The sequence below is a fragment of the Homo sapiens genome, chromosome 6, assembly GCF_000001405.40.
Source record: "Homo sapiens chromosome 6, GRCh38.p14 Primary Assembly".
NCBI lineage: Eukaryota > Metazoa > Chordata > Mammalia > Primates > Hominidae > Homo > Homo sapiens.
In genome coordinates this window covers 43,439,606-43,458,885 of record NC_000006.12, presented here as the reverse complement: position 1 = coordinate 43,458,885, position 19,280 = coordinate 43,439,606, and the positions used below count along the sequence as shown (strand labels likewise).

At 55.1% G+C, this 19,280-nt stretch overlaps 2 protein-coding genes across 27 annotated transcripts in view, besides 5 other annotated features; one reads left to right on the top strand and one right to left on the bottom strand.

The window, feature by feature from the left end:
• Positions 1,840–2,681: an enhancer, noted in NCBI's record as "H3K4me1 hESC enhancer chr6:43423943-43424784 (GRCh37/hg19 assembly coordinates)". NCBI's record gives its function as "activates a minimal SCP1, AML or CMV promoter by ChIP-STARR-seq in naive H9 embryonic stem cells {active_cell/tissue: H9 hESC(naive)}" and the evidence as "EXISTENCE:reporter gene assay evidence [ECO:0000049][PMID:30033119]".
• Positions 2,254–8,534, top strand: DLK2 (delta like non-canonical Notch ligand 2). Of its 9 annotated transcripts, none has more exons than NM_001286655.1 (6): positions 2,254–2,899; positions 4,006–4,136; positions 4,412–4,475; positions 5,751–5,863; positions 6,895–6,946; positions 7,612–8,534. In NM_001286655.1, the coding sequence occupies exons 2-6, from the start codon at positions 4,061–4,063 to the stop codon at positions 8,345–8,347; spliced, it is 1,041 nt and encodes a 346-aa protein (NP_001273584.1). In that variant the 5' UTR covers positions 2,254–2,899; positions 4,006–4,060; the 3' UTR covers positions 8,348–8,534. The 9 variants fall into 9 exon arrangements, with proteins under 9 accessions (NP_001273584.1, XP_047275220.1, NP_996262.1 ...); XM_047419264.1 differs by having other exon boundaries at positions 5,751–5,881; NM_206539.2 differs by having other exon boundaries at positions 5,751–5,881; positions 6,802–6,946.
• Positions 3,280–3,519: a silencer, noted in NCBI's record as "silent region_17231". NCBI's record gives its function as "represses an Ori minimal core promoter by ATAC-STARR-seq in GM12878 lymphoblastoid cells {active_cell/tissue: GM12878}" and the evidence as "EXISTENCE:reporter gene assay evidence [ECO:0000049][PMID:35858748]".
• Positions 3,620–3,669: a silencer, noted in NCBI's record as "silent region_17230". NCBI's record gives its function as "represses an Ori minimal core promoter by ATAC-STARR-seq in GM12878 lymphoblastoid cells {active_cell/tissue: GM12878}" and the evidence as "EXISTENCE:reporter gene assay evidence [ECO:0000049][PMID:35858748]".
• Positions 3,700–3,779: a silencer, noted in NCBI's record as "silent region_17229". NCBI's record gives its function as "represses an Ori minimal core promoter by ATAC-STARR-seq in GM12878 lymphoblastoid cells {active_cell/tissue: GM12878}" and the evidence as "EXISTENCE:reporter gene assay evidence [ECO:0000049][PMID:35858748]".
• Positions 4,310–4,359: an enhancer, noted in NCBI's record as "active region_24601". NCBI's record gives its function as "activates an Ori minimal core promoter by ATAC-STARR-seq in GM12878 lymphoblastoid cells {active_cell/tissue: GM12878}" and the evidence as "EXISTENCE:reporter gene assay evidence [ECO:0000049][PMID:35858748]".
• The window catches only part of ABCC10 (ATP binding cassette subfamily C member 10), a 24,454-nt gene continuing 12,065 nt past the window's right edge, over positions 6,892–19,280 (bottom strand). For 10 of the 18 annotated variants that reach the window (XM_047419494.1, NM_001198934.2, XM_047419495.1 and 7 more), the window contains 14 exons: positions 16,926–17,024; positions 15,727–15,916; positions 14,876–14,953; positions 14,533–14,727; positions 13,948–14,098; positions 13,572–13,761; positions 12,944–13,287; positions 12,440–12,609; positions 11,478–11,638; positions 10,949–11,202; positions 9,860–10,005; positions 9,682–9,779; positions 9,352–9,464; positions 8,459–8,957 (listed from right to left, as the gene is read on the bottom strand). In XM_047419494.1, the coding sequence (XP_047275450.1) occupies positions 8,795–8,957; positions 9,352–9,464; positions 9,682–9,779; positions 9,860–10,005; positions 10,949–11,202; positions 11,478–11,638; positions 12,440–12,609; positions 12,944–13,287; positions 13,572–13,761; positions 13,948–14,098; positions 14,533–14,727; positions 14,876–14,953; positions 15,727–15,916; positions 16,926–17,024 (2,352 nt within the window). In that variant the 3' untranslated portion in view covers positions 8,459–8,794. Of the gene's footprint in view, positions 6,991–8,458; positions 8,958–9,351; positions 9,465–9,676; positions 9,780–9,859; positions 10,006–10,948; positions 11,203–11,287; positions 11,381–11,477; positions 11,639–11,985; positions 12,336–12,439; positions 12,610–12,943; positions 13,288–13,571; positions 13,762–13,947; positions 14,099–14,532; positions 14,728–14,875; positions 14,985–15,726; positions 15,917–16,925; positions 17,025–19,280 lie in introns of those variants that run through there. The other 8 variants (XR_007059383.1, XM_047419496.1, XM_047419497.1 and 5 more) reach the window with 8 other exon arrangements.

Below are 19,280 nucleotides of genomic sequence, written 5' to 3'. Positions count from 1 at the left end.
TGAGCCACCGCGCCCAGCCAGTTTGCTTTCTTTTTTTTTTTTTTTTTGAGACGGAGTCTCGCTCTGTCACCCAGGCTGGAGTGCAGTGGTGCTATCTCGGCTCACTGCAAGCTCCGCCCCCTGGGTTCATGCCATTCTCCTGCCTCAGCCTCCCGAGTAGCTGGGACTACAGGCGCCTGCCACCACACCCAGCTAATTTTTTGTATTTTTAGTAGAGACGGGGCTTCACCGTGTTAGCCAGGATGGTCTCGATCTCCTGACCTCATGATCCTCTCACCTCAGCCTCCCAAAGTGTTGGGATTACAGGCGTGAGCCACCGCACCTGGCCTTTTTCTTTTTACTTTATTCTAAAAAAATGTTAGGCTGGGCACGGTGACTCATGCCTGTAACCCTAGCACTTTGGGAGGCCAAGGCCGGTGGACCACTTGGGGTCACTTCGAGACTAGCCGGGCCAACATGGCGAAACCCCGTCTCTACTGAAAATGCAAAAATTAACTGGGCAGGCCGAGGGCAGTGGCTCACGCCTGTGATCCCAGCACTTTGGGAGGCCAAGCGGGCAGATGACCTGAGGTCAGGAGTTGTAAACCAGCCTGGCCAACATGGCGAAACCCTGTCTCCACTACAAATACAAAAATTAGCCTGGCTTGGTGGGGGCGCGCCTGTAATCCCAGCTACTCGGGAGGCTGAGGCAGAAGAATTGCTTGAACCCGGGAGGCGGAGGTTGCAGTGAGCCAAGATGGAGCCATTGCACTTCAGCCTGGGTGACAGAGCGAGACCCTGTCTCAAAAAAAAAAAAAAAAAAAAAGAGTTAATTAAACAAACAGAATTTTAAAAAAATTTATTGAATACCTACTATGCCAGGCATTGTTTTAGACACTGGGGATGCTGTGATGAGCAAGAAAACATCCCAGACCTCTGGAGTTTGCTTTGTAGTGGGGAGATGGTCAATAAACAATAAATATTTAATATAATGTCAGATAATGATATCTGACAGAGAAAAGCACTGAAAGTCTCGAGAAAAAAAAATTAGCTGGGCGTGGTGGCGCTGTGCCTGCAATTCCAGCTATACTGGAGGCTGAGACGAGGTTGTACTGAGCTGAGGTTGCACTACTGCACTCCAGCCTGGGCGACAGAGTGATAATCTCAAGGAAAAACAAACAAACAACAACAAAAAACAAGTTATAGATGTTCATTGTTTAAAAAAAAAAAAAAAGGGGCGGGCGCGGTGGCTCACGCCTGTAATCCCAGCACTTTGGGAGGTCGAGGCGGGCGGATCACGAGGTCAGGAAATCAAGACCATCCTGGCTACCATGGTGAAACCCCGTCTTTACTAAAAATACAAAAAAAAATTAGCCGGGCGGGGTGGTGGGCGCCTGTAGTCCCAGCTACTTGGGACGTTGAGGCAGGAGAATGGCGTGAACCTGGGAGGCGGAGCTTGCAGAGAGCCGAGATAGCGCCACTGCACTCCAGCTTGGGCCACAAAGCGAGACTCCGTCTCAAAAAAAAAAAAAAAAAAAAAAAAAAAAGTGTTAATGCTGAAAAGTATTAATAAGAAAAAAAAAAAAACCTCTATAATTCGATCATCCAGAGAAAAGCACTGCCAATGTCAAAGTACGTTCTTCTTTGTTTCCGGCTTCCCCCCACCGCACTTTACATATTCTTAGCTTTTTTGGACATCTTTAGACGTCAAAAAAAAAAAAAAGTATTTTTAACAGTCACATAGTGTTGATGTGCCATAATTTATTTGCCTACAGTAATTTTTGAATTATAGGTTGTTTGCAATTTTTCACCAAAAAAAAAAATGTGTTTAAACAAAATGAATGGTACAGCCATGTCATTACTCAAATTCAGAGAGCTCTTCAGGGAAGAGGCGATCACAGCTGAGAGGAGGCCAGCTAGGGAGCTGAGTGGGTGTAAGTGTTATATCCAATGGAGACTGCAGGAAAAATGAGCCCTGGGGCTCTGTGCCTGTGGAGGTGGCTGTGTGAAGGTGGGAAGCTGCTCTGCCCCGACTAGCGACTGCTCCTTCCGATGTTTTGAATTTAAAGATGGTGAAATCTCAATCTGAAGGACTAGAGATGGGCGCTAGCGTTCCTGACCTCTGCCCTGTTGTCCTGCACAAACTAGAAATTATGTTCTGGGTCCTTGTCTTTTTTTGGGGGGGGGCGGGGGTCGGAGTTTTGCTCTGTCCCCCAAGCTGGAGTGCAGTGGCGCGATCTTGGCTAACTGCAACGTCTGCCTCCCGGGTTTTCAAGCGATTTTCCTGCCTCAGCCTTCCGAGTAGCTGGGATTACAGGCGCGCACCACCACGCCTGGCTAATTTCTGTATTTTTAATAGAGACGGGTTTCACCATGTTGGCCAGGCTGGTCTCGAACTCCTGACCTCAGGTGATCCGCCCGCCTCAGCCTCCCAAAGTGCTGGAATTATAGGCGTGAGCCCACCGAGCTTGGCTGGGTCCTTGTCTTGAAATGTGTCTCTGAGCCATTAGCCAGAAGGGGGCAAAGAGGCCTGGAGGGCAGCTTTCCCCCACTCCCCCTCCGTTACTCTCTGAATCTGAGCTCCAGGTTTGGGCAGTTGAGGTTTAGCCTGAGGCCAAGGACGAACGTGATGGGGTACAGGAGAAGACTTGGCGGTGGAGGGGGTTTTGTGTGCACATTTACAGAGTCAGGGGCATTCCCAGTCCAGAAAGGATTCTCAGAGGCAGTCACAAAAAGGAATGGGGTGGAAGGGCTGAGACTTGAGGGAGGGAAGGGTGGTGGGGGTAGGGCCGGGGTGTGGTTGGGTGGATCGGGTTGATATTTATATAGGGATAGGTTGATCTTGGAAGGCTGGAGACGGCAACGTGGACAGGAAGAAGCGGAGGGCGAGGAGGAGCAGAGGAGCACACAGATGAAGCAGGTGATGAAGGCTTTACAAGCGGGGAGGCGTGGGCTGGTGACAGGCGGAGGGCGGGGAGCGATTGCCTGCGTGTGCATAGATCTATATGAGAAGCGTGATGAGCGGCGGACAAGCGAAGGCAGGGCTGGGGCGTGGGCCGCGGAGCGCTGGTCGGGAAAGTGGGCATGGGAGATGAGAGAATAACGGGGTTGCGCTCCTTTGGCTTAATAGTTTGCTCCCATTGAGACTCCTAAGATTTCCTCCTCTCTTGGAAGGAAGCTGGGTTCGGGGCGTTGGGTAGCCGCGGAGGGCCGGGGCCCCGGGGCGCGCCGGGTGCTAGGTGTGCGCCGTGCGTCGCGGGGGGGGGGATGGGGGTGGGGGCGGGCTCCGCCCCTGGCAGGGGGCCTGAGCGCGCGCGAGGAGCAGCCGCTGCCGCCGCTCGGGGTCGCCTGGAGCCCCAGATTCCCGAGCGCTCGGCTCGCATGGCAGCCGCTTCGGCGCCCGGCCCCGCGGCCAGCTAGGGGCGGCCCCGCGCTCCCTCACGGCCCCTCGGCGGCGCCCGTCGGATCCGGCCTCTCTCTGCGCCCCGGGGCGCGCCACCTCCCCGCCGGAGGTGAGGACTGCGGGGACAGGGCGCGGTGGGGATTCCAGGCCCCGCGCCGCCGCCGAACCCAGCGCGGCGGAGATAGAAAGGGGACGTGGGAGAGAGTGGTGGTGGCGGGGGGGGGGGCTGTCGGAGCTGTGGGGCGGAGACTGCTCGCTGCCGGGAACCGTCCTTCCCTCCGGCCCCCGCGTCCCCTCCGTGCTCGAGGCCGCCTCTCGGCGCTGTCCCCATCCCGCGGACCCCTCCGTCCTGACTACGATCCCAACCCCAGCCATTCCCGCGCCTGGCCTCGCTCCGCGATGCCCATCTTTCCCCTCCTTGCAGACCCCGCTCCCGGGTTCCTGTCTTCGCTCTCCTCGCTCTCTTCGCCTGCTCAACCCTTCCCTGCCCCCATCCTCCCGCTACCCCCATCCCCTTCTTCTGTCCCGGCGCCCCTCTCCCTCGTCGGCTCCTGTCACTTGGAACCCGTATCCGTGCCGCTATCTCCGCGTCCGGCCGCCTCCCAACCGGTGCCGTCCCACAGGTGTCCACGCGTCCGGCCGTCCATCCGTCCGTCCCTCCTGGGGCCGGCGCTGACCATGCCCAGCGGCTGCCGCTGCCTGCATCTCGTGTGCCTGTTGTGCATTCTGGGGGCTCCCGGTCAGCCTGTCCGAGGTGAGCGCGCCCGCTGGGCTCCAGTCGCGGCCCTGTCCAGCCGTCCTCGCTTGCACGTTGACCTCTGCCGGCCGGAGGCGGCACTGCAGTCGCTCCGACCCGCGGGGCAAGCAAGACCGAGGTTGCCTTTTTGGAATGGGATGAGTTTCTGTGTTATGTCCTGCCCTAGGGTTGAGTCCGCTCAGTTACTGGAACCCCAATCCTCTCCTGAGTCCCGCATCCCAGCGAGCTGTGCCCTGACTCAGACTCACCCCTCCCACATCAATCTCTTGCAGCCGATGACTGCAGCTCCCACTGTGACCTGGCCCACGGCTGCTGTGCACCTGACGGCTCCTGCAGGTACCTGTCCTGAGCACGTGCCCCCAAACCCTTTGGTACCCATTTCTAAGCCCTTCACGTGCACAACAGTGTCTAGGGGCTTCAGACTCTACTCTTCATGCCTCATCACTCCTATGGCTGACTGGCCAGTCCCCCTTTCCCCTTTACCTCACCTCTCTTGCTTCTTCTAGTTTTTATCTCCCCACTTCTTTAATCTCCCAAGTCTGATCCAGGGATTGTCTGAACTCCTGACAGGGAGAGAGACCTAAAGCTTGAGAGAGCTTGGGGATTGGGTGCCATGAGGAAATGGAAAGATAAAGGAAAAAGGGAAAGAGAAATGGTTTAGCCTGGAAAAGAAATGCTGCAGGGAGAGTTGCTGGGGAGAAACACTTACAATGAAAGAGGATCTTTCTTGATGAGTTTGAGTAGTTGACTCACTGGGAGATTGGGCAAATTCTGTAGCAGGAGGAAAGTGGACATAAGGAAATGAGTTGATGAGGCAGGTAGTTCAATTGGCTGGGGGTCTTTGAGACTCTTCACCCCTGGAGGGCTTTTAAAATATGGGTCAAGTGTTTGCCCTGGAATCATGGTGGGAGGATAGTCCTGATGACCTTTTTTGTTTTTATTTTTATTTTTTGTTTTTGAGACAGAGTCTCGCTTTGTTGCCAAGGCTGGAGTGCAGTGGCGCGATCTCAGCTCACTGCAGCCTCTGCCTCTTGTGTTCAAGTTCCCCTGCCTCAGCCTCCTCAATAATGGATTACAGATGCACACCACCATGCCCGGGTAATTTTTTGTATTTTTTGTAGAGACGGGGTTTCACCCAGTTGGCCAGGCTGGTCTTGAACTCCTGACCTCAAGTGATCCACCTGCCTCGACCTCCCAAAGTGCTGGGATTACAGGCGTGAGCAACCACGCCCCGGCCCTGATGGCCTTTCAAGGTCATTCTTCTTTAAATGTTTGTGAGCACCTCAGACATGCCAGGAGGGGTACTGGAGGCATTTACAGACATCTTATTTCTTCCTCTACTCAACCCTGCAAGGTGTATCCCCAATTTACAGGTGAGAAAACTGAGGCTCAGGTTAAAGTACAGAACCAGGGTTTGAGTGCTGGTGTCTGATGGTCTGATTCCGTATATGTGTCCTATGACCCTGCACAGTCCTACACCTACCTGGGACAGGTCTGCTTTCCCTTAGGGGCTGTCATATGTCCTCTTGGTTTCTAGAAGCTCTGGTTCTGTCTCCTCCATTTCTTCACATCCATGACCCAGAGCCCTGACCCTGTGCTTCTCCCCGTCAGGTGTGACCCGGGCTGGGAGGGGCTGCACTGTGAGCGCTGTGTGAGGATGCCTGGCTGCCAGCACGGTACCTGCCACCAGCCATGGCAGTGCATCTGCCACAGTGGCTGGGCAGGCAAGTTCTGTGACAAAGGTAGGGGGGAGGAAGGGTAGCTTTTGGTTGGGAACCCCATGTTCTTAGGGGAACAGCCATCAGTATTTATTGAGTGCCTATTTTGTCCTTGTCAAACCCTCAAATACATGGTATTTTATCATTTTTTTAAATCTTAGACTTTTTATATGTTGTCTGAATTGATCCTCAACATAACCCCATGGGGCAGGAAACACAGCTGCTAAAAATTGTACTCATTTTACAGATGAGGAAACTAAGGCCCACAGAAGAGCTATAACCTGCTCAAAGTCAGGTTTTTTTGTTTGTTTTGTTTTGAGATGGAGTCTCACTCTGTCACCCAGGCTGGAGTGCAGTGGTGCGATCTCGGCTCACTGTAACCTCCGCCTCCTGGGTTCAAGTGATTCTCGTGCCTCAGCCTCCCCAGTAGCTGGAATTACAGGCACCCGCCACTTCAGCTAATTTTTGTATTTTTAGTAGAGATAGGGTTTCACCATGTTGGCCAGGCTGGTCTCGAACTCCTGACCTCAAGTGATCCACCCGCCTTGGCCTCCCAAAGTGCTGGAATTATAGGCATGAGCCACTGTACCGGCCTAATGTTTGTATTTTTAGTAGAGATGGGGTTTTGCCATGTTGGCCAGGCTGGTCTTGAACTCCTGACCTCAAGTCATCTGCCCACCTTGGTCTTCCAAAGTGCTGGGATTACAGGCATGAGCCACAGTACCCAGCCCAAGGTCAGTTTGAGACAGACTGAGAGCCAGGGCCAGGAGCCTCCTGACTCCAAATTCAGTGTTGTTGTCTCTCCCTAGCATACCACGCCAGCCTGGGCTGGGTTTGTAGTATAGCCACACCTACAGAACCTGGGGCCTGGAAGGCGTGGACAAGTCTGGTCTGGGGACCAGATGGGAGGGGTTATCCCAGAGCCTTTCCTGTCCCCTCTCCAGATGAACATATCTGTACCACGCAGTCCCCCTGCCAGAATGGAGGCCAGTGCATGTATGACGGGGGCGGTGAGTACCATTGTGTGTGCTTACCAGGCTTCCATGGGCGTGACTGCGAGCGCAAGGCTGGACCCTGTGAACAGGCAGGGTGAGTGCTGGGCCCTCAGGGTGAGTGGAAGGTTAGACCAGAACCTGGTGATGGGATGAGAAAAGAGGCAGGACTGTTGGGAGGGTGGGGGACTGAGAGTCAGACCCACACGGGGACACTCAGATAAAACCCCTGCATGCCAAAGTGTTCCTAGTTCAGGGTTTCTCAACTTTTTTTTTTGTACCTTCTGAGCCATTTCTTCAACAATCTATAGGAGCTAGAGGGGTAACAAACGTGTGACTGTTCTGGTTGGGGAGGGTGGGTGTGGGGAGACTGAAGGGCCTGGGTCTCTCCTCATCCTCTCCTGAACGCTGGCTTGCACCCTTCTGTGTCACAGTAGGGATGAGGAAACAGCCTGCAGGGCTGGACTTGTCCTCATTTCTGCATCAGGCCCAGGAGCCTGTGAGGATAATAATAGCACACTTACCCTGAGCCCTGCCTTCTGGCTGGGCCCTGTGCTAATGGCTTGACATTGATTATTTCACTCAACCCTCACAATTAGGGAAGCTGGGTACTATTTTTATTCTCATTTTTAAAATGAGGTATTTGAGGCTCGGAGTGTGTAGCCCAAGATGACATGGCGGGCAGTGGTCAGGATACTGACCTGGGCTGCCCTACAGGTGTTGGTAAGTTGGTTATCATGTCCTCTCTCACCCCTACCACAGCTCCCCATGCCGCAATGGCGGGCAGTGCCAGGACGACCAGGGCTTTGCTCTCAACTTCACGTGCCGCTGCTTGGTGGGCTTTGTGGGTGCCCGCTGTGAGGTAAATGTGGATGACTGCCTGATGCGGCCTTGTGCTAACGGTGCCACCTGCCTTGACGGCATAAACCGCTTCTCCTGCCTCTGTCCTGAGGGCTTTGCTGGACGCTTCTGCACCATCAACCTGGATGACTGTGCCAGCCGCCCATGCCAGAGAGGGGCCCGCTGTCGGGACCGTGTCCACGACTTCGACTGCCTCTGCCCCAGTGGCTATGGTGGCAAGACCTGTGAGCTTGTCTTACCTGTCCCAGACCCCCCAACCACAGTGGACACCCCTCTAGGGCCCACCTCAGCTGTAGTGGTACCTGCCACGGGGCCAGCCCCCCACAGCGCAGGGGCTGGTCTGCTGCGGATCTCAGTGAAGGAGGTGGTGCGGAGGCAAGAGGCTGGGCTAGGTGAGCCTAGCTTGGTGGCCCTGGTGGTGTTTGGGGCCCTCACTGCTGCCCTGGTTCTGGCTACTGTGTTGCTGACCCTGAGGGCCTGGCGCCGGGGTGTCTGCCCCCCTGGACCCTGTTGCTACCCTGCCCCACACTATGCTCCAGCGTGCCAGGACCAGGAGTGTCAGGTTAGCATGCTGCCAGCAGGGCTCCCCCTGCCACGTGACTTGCCCCCTGAGCCTGGAAAGACCACAGCACTGTGATGGAGGTGGGGGCTTTCTGGCCCCCTTCCTCACCTCTTCCACCCCTCAGACTGGAGTGGTCCGTTCTCACCACCCTTCAGCTTGGGTACACACACAGAGGAGACCTCAGCCTCACACCAGAAATATTATTTTTTTAATACACAGAATGTAAGATGGAATTTTATCAAATAAAACTATGAAAATGCAAGTGGGCTCCTATGCCAGAAAAACCCACCTGGCGTTCCAGATGCAAGAGGGCCAGAGCAGAGGCCTGGTTCTGGGGAAGCCTCAGGATGCTGCCCACCAAGGAGTGATTTCCAAAGAGTAATCCAGGGTGCCCTTTTCCCTTCTGGGGAAGTGTGGAGAGGTAGAGCCCCAGAGGAGAATGTAAACAAGCAGCCAGCACCTCTGTATAGGCCCGGCCTGGATCAGAGAGAGGGGAGAACTCTGCAGGGTGTGGGATTGGGCTCAGGGACCTCCGAGTGAGGCAGGGACTCCCTGCTGGCTGCTCTGCAGCAGCTGCTGGAACAGGGAGTGGGGCTGGTTGCGCAGGGTGGCCGGGGAGTCCAGCTCTACCACTCTCCCCGCTTGTAGCACCAGCACCCGGTCTGAGTTCAGGATCGTGTTGAGCCTGTGAGGGGGAAGATGGTCAGTGTAGGGGATGAGGGACAATGCCCTAAGTAAGAACACTGACCTGCTTTCCCTCCTCTCCCCTCGGGACACCACAGGTCTGTCCCCACAGGCTTTAGCCCCTGGCTTGGTGCTGGGGAAGGGACTGCAGAGTCCCTCAGATAATGTGCTATAAAGGGCCCTAGGCAGTGCTATAAAGGGCCCTCAGATAATGTGCTATAAAGGGCCCTAGGCAGTGCTATAAAGGACCCTTCTCGTCCCTGGAGAAGGAGGAGCTGAGATCTGGGGGGGCAGGATCTCTAAGGCCCTGACCACTGGGGTCCCTGAAAGCAACGGAGGCTCTCGGTGCATGCTACCACAGTCCCTGATTAGGCTGTTACCAGGCGTTTACATACCTATGGGCAATGGTCAGCACTGTCTTGTTGGCAAAGCGTTTGCAGATGGTCTGCTGGAGCAGCTGGTCTGTCTTCTGGTCCACACTTGCTGTGGCCTCATCGATACACAGGATCTGGAATATGGGAATGGGGTAGGGGATAAGAAGGAAGGAGAGGCTGCAGGGTGGGTTGGGCCTGGCCCAAGCAACAGCCCCTACCACAGCTCCCCACTTCCAGCTCTAAAAGGAAAATGAACTTGGTCCCCTAAAACCTCTCCCCACTCTACCTCCCCACCTCCCGGCCCCCAGCCTTCTTCCTGGCCCTCTCTAATGTCTCTTTCTCTCACCTTACCTTGGCATCTGTGAGGAGAGCCCTGGCCAAACACAACAGCTGCCTCTGCCCAAGAGATAAGCTCCGGCCCCCCTCACCCAGCTCACCATCCAGACCACCTGCAAGGAAAGCATCTTCGTTGCAGGGCCCAGGCCATCCCTGCTCCCTTCTTGCTCTAAGGTCAGGGTCCAGCACTCACCCATGGATGTAATCACCTCACTCAGGTGGCACTGCTTCAGGGCCTGCCACAAGGCCCTGTCCTTATGTAGGCCCTGGGGGTCCAGGTTTTCCCGAACAGTCCCACTGAACAAAAAGGGCTCCTGGGGGATGATAGCCAACTGGGATCTGGGGGACAATGACATGGAGTCTAGTGGTTGGAGATGTAGCCACTTCTGCTCCCAGCTCAGTTTCTGACTACAGGGCTAGCACCTCCATGAAAGCCTGGGTATGAGACCTGAACATAACCCCACTCTGCTCCCCACCCCATCCCCACCAAATGATCTGTTAGTAGCTGGGTACCTAGAACTGTGCCAGTGCTATGAGCAATACCAAAGAAACCAAAGGCTGGACTCTGTCCTCAAGGTGCCTACATTTCACGGAGGTGCACACACACAAACCAGACAAAACAAATGGGCTAAACTGTGTGGCACTGACTCCAGGGGTGGCAGTGGCTACGCAGGGAATGACCAGAGCGACTGAAAGGGCAGGTGACACTTCAAGGTTGGAGTGGGCCTAGAATTGGGTCCTGAAGACATGATGGAGCTATAAGGTAGGGCCACCACAGCTTAGAAGAGAAGGCAGAAGAGGCAGGCCTAGGGCTTTAGGATACAGCTTCCCTACCTTTTCCATGTCACCGTACTCAGAGAAAATGATACTAGGTTGACCTGGAGGTAAGGAAGGGTTGTATACCCTCCAGTGAGGCCACCTGAAGCCAAGGGCAACCGGTTCAGGTCTCAAGCTGTCTGAAGCACTGCCTGCTGAGCCTAGGACTCAGGGGATCAGTATCTTGGGGCACAAGAGTGGAGGGTGTATGGTAGGAAGTACAAGAAAGATGAAGCTGGAAAGGTGGCCTGGGTCAGGGCGAGGAAGACCTTGAGATCACCAGCCATGAATCTGGACCTGGGCACTAGGAGTTCGCTGTCCTTGCCTGCTCATCCTGTCCTCCATTTCAGCCCCCTGATCAGCCCTGGCTGCTGTGAGTTTATATAAAGCCTTCCTGGCTATGCCCTCCTCTAAGTGCCAGTAGTTCTGGTTCCCCCTTCCCCTCCCAAGTCCATCTCCCCCAGACCTGAGCTGGGCCAGCTCCAGCTGGCTGGTGTCCACGCCGTCCAGCAGCACTCGCCCTGAACTGGGCTCTAGCAGCCGGAAGAGCACCAACAACAGGGAAGACTTGCCGGAGCCTGTGCGGCCCACGATGCCCAACTTCTCTCCAGGCTGCACGCAGAAGGTCACTCCATCCAGGGCATTCGGCAGCCCTGGCCGGTACGCCAACACCACGTCCTGGAACTCCACGCCCCCCTGGGTCAGCCAGCCGGTGCCCAGCTGGTGGGGTCCATGGGTGGGAGACAGACGGGGAAAGGGAGATAGGGGAGATGAGGAGCGATGGTGAGGAGGGGAGAATAATGAGAAATGGACAGTGTGAGAGGAATGAGAGAATGAGAGATGGGGAAGAAGGGACATGGTGAAGAATTGTGGTCATCATGAAGAGAGGTTATGGGAGCTGAGAAAGATGGGTGGGCAAAAAGAAAGGAATTGTGAGGGAGACTGGGGCCTTCAGGGTTCCAGAGCTTTGGCCTGGGGTGGGGGTACAGGCCCACCTGCAGTGGCTGGCCCTGGGGTTCCTGGGGCAGGTCACAGGTGTACTCTTCCAGCCGCTCGACGCTCACCAGCATGGCCTCTGTCTGTGTGAAGCTGCTCACCAGGCCCGAGAGCAGGCCCGTCAGGGACAGGGCATAAGACAGCGACAAGCCCACCAGCCCTGGGGGAGAGAAGTACCAGCTGCTGGGAGAGCTTGGACACCGGGACGTTTGTGGGAGACTCCCCAGGCTGTGGACTGCTGGCATTTAAAGGAAGCAACAGAGGCTGGGCGCGGTGGCTCACGCCTGTAATTCCAGCACTTTGGGAGGCCAAGGCAGGTGGATCACGAGGTCAGGAGTTTGAGACCAGCCTGGCCAACATGGTGAAACCCTGTCTCTACTAAAAATACAAAAATTAGCTGGGCGTGGTGGCAGGCGCCTGTAATCCCAGCTACTTGGGAGGCTGAGACAGGAGAATTGCTTGAACCCAGGAGGCAGAGGTTGCAGTGAGCCGAGATCGTGCCACTGCACTCCAGCCTGGGCAACAGAGCGAGACTCCATCTCAAAAAAAAAAACAAAACAAAAAAGCAACAGAGAAGCAGGAGGGTGATAGGACCTAGCCAGGAGCACAGGAGGCCAGATGCAGGGCAGGGGGTGGGCCTGGAGAAGCTGGGAGGGACGGCATGTGGGAGACTGAAGCGGGCTGGGGCAGTGTGGTGGGGACGGGGTGGAAGCAGGGAAGGGACTGAGACCAGCAGCTCAGAAGACTCATTCTAGTCCCCAAGCCACCACCACCTGGGCAAGTCCCTCCTGGGGATTGTCTCCTCAACTCCAAACGGGGGTGATGATGATAATCATGATACATCCTCACAGGGAACCCTGGGTGGGAGGTGAAAATGTTGGGGGGATGGTGCAGGGAGAGATCTGGGAGAGCGGTGGACTAACTTGTGGATGAGGTAGGGGTGAGGGGTCCTGGGTGGCACCTGGGTTAGCGAGGCCCTGCTGGTGCTGCACCAGAGCGATGCCTGCGATAGCGCTGACCACTGCCGCCCCCATGAGCTGTAGCCGAATGTCCAGCCACTGCATTGTGGCACTGGTGGCAAACTGGCACCTCTGGTTTAGCTCAAGGAGTCGCAGGTTCTCCTCCTCAAACCTAGGGAAGGCCAGAGGGATGTGAAGCCACTCCACTGTTGCCCTGAGCCACCCAGCCTCAGGGCCTCAACAGGGAAGGCCCTTATTGAGCAGCTCCTTCTTGGGAGCTGGTCTGTATACCCACAGGCCTCCCTCAGGGCTGCAGATGCCAGTGTGCTCTTTCAAAGTGGGGGTCCACTCTGCCTCCCTATCTCCTTCTTCTGTTGCTTTCCTCCTTCCCCATCCCTTGTCCCCAGGAGGGCTGAACCAACCATACCCTGCATATTCCTCTTCTTGGGGGTCTCTCTTTTCCTCTCCCCCCAACACCTCATCCCCCTGGGCTCTGGTTCACACACCTGTAGGTGGCCCCTGTGGCCCGGAGCACAGAGAGGCCAGCCAAGGTATCGGCCAGATGGCTATACAGTGGAGACAGGGTGAGGCTGCCCAGGCGCCGCAGCTCCCGTGAGGAGGCCCTGTAGTGGCGCTGCACGTGATAGTACATGATGCTCAAAGGCGGCAGCAGGAGCAGCAGCCAGGGCAGGCCAGAGCCCAGCACGGCCAGGAGCCCCAGCAGGCCTGCCGCGTTGGCCAGGAGGATGTTGAGGATGAAGGGCAGGCTGTCATCCGCACAGGCCACATCAGAGGAGAAGCGGTTTAGGATCCGGCCCGTGGGTGTGGCATTGAAGAAAGTCACTGGTGCCTGGGAGAAGGACGCTGATTGGGCCAGGGCAGAGTCTGGCAGAAGAGGGGTTGGCAGGCAGCACTGGGGGAGGTGGGGTGGAGGGGAAGGCCCAAGATAGAGAATAGGGAAGGACTAAAATATCCCCAGAATTTGGGGGCAGAGAAGAGAGATTGGCAGAGGTTGAGGAAGAATATCCCAGGGCAGGAAAGACTCTCCCATCCCCAGTGGAGCCCGAGTATTGGGAGGACACTCCACAGGGGCTAGGACTGCACTCCCCTACCCCCGAGGTCCCAGCCCCTCACCATAAGGACTCGATGCAGCAGGCGGCGATGCAGAGTGGCAGCTGCTTGAAGGGTGCCTGCTGCAAAGAGCACTGCCCGGAGAAGGGTGCAGAGGGAATTTACACCAGCAATGGTCGCATACACGGTGAGGTAGAAACGGATGTCTGAGGAGCCATTGGGGGCAGCTTTGGGCAGTGGGAACACTGGGATGCTGGGTGGTGAGGAGGGGGCTGTCGGTAACCAAAACTAGGGCCACTCGGGGGTCCTTTCTCCTCCCCCATGCCATCTCTCCCACCCTCCAGAAGTCACAGCATCTGGAATACCGGCCACAACCCTCACTCCCTGCCTGGCGACCACTCTGAGAGCACCAGGCCTACCCCCAGCCCCAGCCACTCACTAGAGGTTTCCAGGGGAAAAGAGGAGCAGCTGCGGAGAGAAGAGCCCCATAGAAGCTGGGCTGGTGGAGGGTTGCGCCTCCTGGGAGCTATTCTCAGCCTTCAGCTGAGAGATCCAGTGGGAGAGCCACCAGTCAGCAGCGTTCCGCGTGGCTGGGTGGGGACAGGAAGGAAAAAGCTGTAAGAGGCTCCTCTCCCTTGTTCATTCTATTCCAATGCCCCCTTTCTCCGCCCTTGCCTCTGGTTCCTGCCCATCTCCATCCGCCTGGCCTGGCCTCCCCACCCTGCCACTACCCCATATCCTCCCTAGTGTGGGCTTCTCTCATAGGCCCGTCACCCTTCAGCTCTGGGGAGAACAGGATCTCAGACTTGCAGAATGGGAGCTAACCTAGGGGGCAGAACAGAAGCCAGCTATAGAGCACATGCCTCTGGCCCCTGGGCATCTCTCAGAATTAGGAGTATGGCTTTTGTCCCAGCTGTGACCCATGCTTGGTGAGTCTCTGGGCTTTGTAATGATTAGTGCAAGGTAATGGGCACCTAGACAGCACAGCCGTTACGATGTAAGAGACTCCCAGGCACGCTCTCACCTTGCATGAGAAGCAGAGAGAAGAGGATGGCTAAGGCCAAGCCCTGGCCCACGGCCTTCCAGTAAGCTTGGTACACGTGCAAGGCCACGGCGCCCTCCTTCTTGCTTTCTTCCTGCAGCAGGCGACCAGATGTGCTCTGCTCCTCCTCCAGCCCCTCCTTTGTTTTCTCTGGGTTCTGTACTGACTGGGCTGTGGCTGTGAGAATCAGGGGTCATGGAAGAATTAAGCTTGCAGGGTGCCAGCTGAAAACTCAGTATTTCAGAGGAGCGGGCAGCCGTTGTAGAAAAAGCTCTACAGTGTGGCAGGGAAAAGCAAGCCCTTTTCTCCCACTGGGGAGCCATACCTGAGTCAGACTCTTGTCCATTCTCAGCCCAGGCTTTGGGGACAGCTTGTACCAGTGGCAGAATCTCAGAGGGAGGTCCTGGAGGGTAGAAGGGGAGATTGGGAGAGGACTGTTCTGAGTCTATACTATGCCTTTCTCAGTGCGTGTGCAGATCCCACCTCTCATCCTCTCAGGCCTCCCCGTCTAACCCACCCTAGCAGGATACCCCTAGACCTCGAGCAGGACTCTTAGGCCTCCCTCTCTAACCCACCCTGCTCTGGATACCCCTAGACCTCGAGCAGGACTCAAGTCCATCCTTGTAAACCTTGATTCCGACCAGCAGAGAGGGACGAATGTCCATCCCCAAGAGGACCGCCAGAGCTATGCCTGCCACTCTGTCCAGGGTTACTTCTCATTACTGCAGAGCTTTTTCTCATGCTTCGCTCAATTCCTAATATCTGGCTGGAGCTTCATTTCCTCCTATTTCTCTCCCAGTAAACTTGCAGGTGGTCACATCCCTCTGCATAAAAATCTTTCAGAGTTTAAAAATTTTTGTTTTTACAAAAAGACCATTCTAAACCTGACTCCTTTCTCTTCTCTGAAGATATGAGAATGTTCTCAGAGACCCTGGGCCTTTAAGTTCCCAAGAGCACCCAGTCACAAAGCCCATGAGTCCCAAATACACTGGCATTTTACCAACGTACTCCTTTTCCCTCCTGTTCTCCCAGTTCCTCACACCAGTTCTGTGAAGGCGGGAGGCAGCAATGACTGGCTCAGGGCACACATGCAGCAGGGGGCAGAGTCTGTACTTCACAATCCCCTGCCAGACCTGGGCAGACACCTCCCTCACACGGGGCTCCTGCCCCCATTACCAGCCCGGATGAGGCGCCCGGCCTCCATCAGCAGCACCGCGTCAGCCCTCTCCAGGTACTCAGTGCGGTGGGTGCAGAGCAGCCGTGTGGTGTAGCTCAGCATGCCCAGGATGCACCTGTGCAGCAGGTGGTTGGCCACATCTGCATCCACAGCGGCCAGAGGGTCATCGAGGAGATAGAGCTCCTTTTCCTATGGAGACGTGAGGGTACCGTGGGCACCAGGACCCAAAGGCTCTCCGGAGAAGATCTCAAAGTGATCAGAGAAGACAGTTGAGAGAAACTCTGGGGGCTACCCCTACACTAGCAGAGAAGGAGGTGAGACCTGAGGGTGGACATCCCTTCAGGCAAGAAAGAACAGCACCCCAGGGCCAGCACTCAGCTTTCCTAGGTCCCAGGCCCTCAGCCCATATAACACTTTTTTTTTTTTTTGAGACATGGTCTTGCTCTGTTGCCCAGGCTGGAGTGCAGTGGCATGAACACCACTCACTGCAGCCTCAATTTCCCAGGCTCAAGTGATCCTTCCCACCTCAGCCTCCTGAGTAGCTGGGACTACAGGTGCATGCTATCAAGCCCAGCTAAATTTTTTTGGAGACAGGGTTTCATTCTCATCACCCAGGCTGGAGTGCAATGGTGTGATCTTGGCTCACTGCAACCTCTGCCTCTCGGGTTCAAGCGATTCTCCTGCCTCAGCCTCCCGAGTAGCTGGAATTACAGGCATGTGCCACTATGCCCAGCTAATTTTTGTATGTTTTTCAGTAGCGATGGGGTTTCACCATGTTGGCCCAGCTGGTCTCGAACTCCTGACCTCAAGTGATCCACCCTCCTCGGCCTCTCAAAGTGCTAGGATTACACCAACTAACTTTTTAAAATTATTTTTTGTAGAGACAGGGTTTTGCCACATTGCCCAGGCTGATCTTAAACTCCTGGGCCCAAGCAATCCTCCTGCCTTGGCCTCCCAAAGTGCTGGGATTACAGACCTAAGCCACCATGCCCAGCCTACAAATACTTTTTAAAGGCCTTGAACTCTGCCTTAAATCTGCAAAAGGGGATGAGATGGCCAATACCTCAGGAACATGCAAGGGAGGAGGGAAGGAACCAGATGCTAAGGAAAATATTCCTATCCTCCTAACTCAGCCAAGTTCCCAAGGCTCTGGACTCCCCCCACCTCCCTGCCACTGCAACCTCCATCTTTAACTGACCTGGTAGACAGCACGAGCAAGGGCAATCCGGGCACGCTGTCCTCCGCTAAGGGTGACACCCTTCTCCCCCACCTCTGTCTGGTCTCCAGCAGGCAGGATCTGATGGAACAGGTGCCCCAGTGGGTCAGGGAGCTCCCATTACCTTCTGGCCCACTTCCTATCCCTTTGCAGGAGATAGTGGGAGTCAAGAGAAGTAGGGAGCTTGAGGAGAGTAGACTTAAATTTGGGGTGAGCTAGTCAGAGGAGACAAGACATAATTCCAATAACATCAAGCACTTATTGAACACTATGTGCCTAGCACTTTACAGGCATTCTCTCATTCAAGCCCCAATGTAATCTTATGAAGATGGTATCATTTCCTTTTCTCAGGTGCAACCAAAGCTCAGACAGATTAACTAGCTGGCCCACAGCTAGTAAGGGGCAGGACACAAGTTCAGATTCAGATTCTTAACTACTTTGTTACATTTACTACCCTTTTTTTTTTTTGAGACGGAGTCTCGCTCTGTCGCCAGGCTGGAGTGCAGTGGCACAATCTCAGCTCACTGAAACCTCCACCTCCTGGGTTCAAGCGATTTTCCTGCCTCAGCCTCTCGAGTAGCTGGGACTACAGGCGTGTGCCACCATGCCCAGCTAATTTTTGCATTTTTAGTAGAGACGGGGTTTCACCATGTTAGCCAGGATGGTCTCGATCTCCTGACCTTGTGATCCACCCACCTTGGCCTCCCAAAGTGCTGGGATTATAGGCGTGAGCCACCGTGCCTGGCCTATTACCCTGTCTTTTTAACAGGCAAGGTAGTAAGGTATCTTGGGCAGATTTGATGTAAAAGCTTTTATAGGTTTTTACTTTTTTGTGTGTGTGAGACAGAGTCTTGCTCTGTCGCCCAGGCTGGAGTGCAGTGGCATGATCTCAGCTCACTGCAACCTCCGCCTCTCGGGTTCATGCAATTCTCCTGCCTCAGCCTCCAGAGTAGCTAGGACTACAGGTGTGAGCCATGACACCCAGCTAATTTTTGTTTTTTTTGTTTGTTTGTTTTTTTTTTTTGTAGAGAAGAGATTTTACCATATTGCCCTGGGTGGTCTGGTATTTTTTTTTTTTTGAGACGGAGTCTCACTCTGTTGCACAGGCTGGAGTACAATGGCGCGATCTTGGCTCACTGAAACCTCCGCCTCCTGGGTTCAAGCTAGATTCTCCTGCCTCAGCCTCCCGAGTAGCTGGGATTACAGGTGCCCACGACCACGCCCAGCTATTTTTTGTATTTTTAGTAGAGATGGGGTTTCACCATGTTGGCCAGGCTGGTCTCGAACTCCTGACCTCATGATCTGCCCACCTTGGACTTCCAAAGTGCTGGGATTACAGGCGTGAGCCACCACTGTTAAGCCTGGCTGCCCTGGGTGGTCTTGAACTCCTGACCTCAAGCGATCCACCCTCCTTGGCCTCCCAAAATGCTAGGATTACAGGCATGAGCCACCACGCCTGGCCAATCATTCATTGCTTTCCCAAGTCTGCTAGGTCCTAGGTACTGTTGTAGGCACTAAGGAAAGAGATGAACAACAAAGCTTTTAGCTCAGGGGACTCACCATCTAGTGGATCACGGGTGCTTCCTCTGCGTGAGGAAGGGAATCCCTTTGCTTAGTAGCCCATTCCTGAGGCCACAAGAAGCCTTAGAGGTAGTACATTCCTTCTCTAAAAACCTACGAAAGCTGGGCCGGGCACAGTGGCTCACGCCTGTAATCCCAGCACTTTGGGAGGCCAAGGCGGGCGGATCACTTGAGCCCAACAGTTCGAGACCAGCCTGGGCAACATGGTGAAACCCCATCTCTACTAAAAATACAAAAATTAGGCAGGCGTGGCAGCTTACACCTGTAGTCCCAGCTACTCAGGAGGCTGAGGCAAGAGAATTACTTGAACCCGAGCGGCAAAGGTTGCAGTAAGCCGAGATCATTCCACTGCACTCCAGCCTGAGCGACAGAGCAAGACTCTGTCTCACACACACGAAAAAGTAAAAACCTATAAAAGCTTTTACATAAAATCTGCCCAAGATATCTTACTACCTTGACTGTTAAAAAGACAGGGTAGTAGGCCAGGCGCGGTGGCTCACGCCTGTAATCCCAGCACCTTGGGAGGCCAAGGTGGGCAGATCACAAGGTCAGGAGATGGAGACCATTCTGGCCAACATGGTGAAACCCTGTTTCTACTAGAAATACAAAAATTAGCTGGGCATGGTGGCACGCAGCTGTAGTCCCAGCTACTCGAGAGGCTGAGGCAGGAGAATCGCTTGAATCCAGGAGGCGGAGGTTGCAGTGAGCCGAGATTGTGCCACTGCACTCCAGCCTGGCAACACAGTGAGACTCCGT

Coding starts and splice junctions, on each gene's coding strand:
- DLK2 (XM_005249308.6), top strand. CDS start 3,782: ATGCCCATCTTTCCCCTCCTTGCAGACCCCGCTCCCGGGTTCCTGTCT. Junction 4,137..4,411: donor TCCCGGTCAGCCTGTCCGAG/GTGAGCGCGCCC, acceptor AATCTCTTGCAG/CCGATGACTGCAGCTCCCAC. Junction 5,882..6,801: donor AGGCAAGTTCTGTGACAAAG/GTAGGGGGGAGG, acceptor TCCCCTCTCCAG/ATGAACATATCTGTACCACG.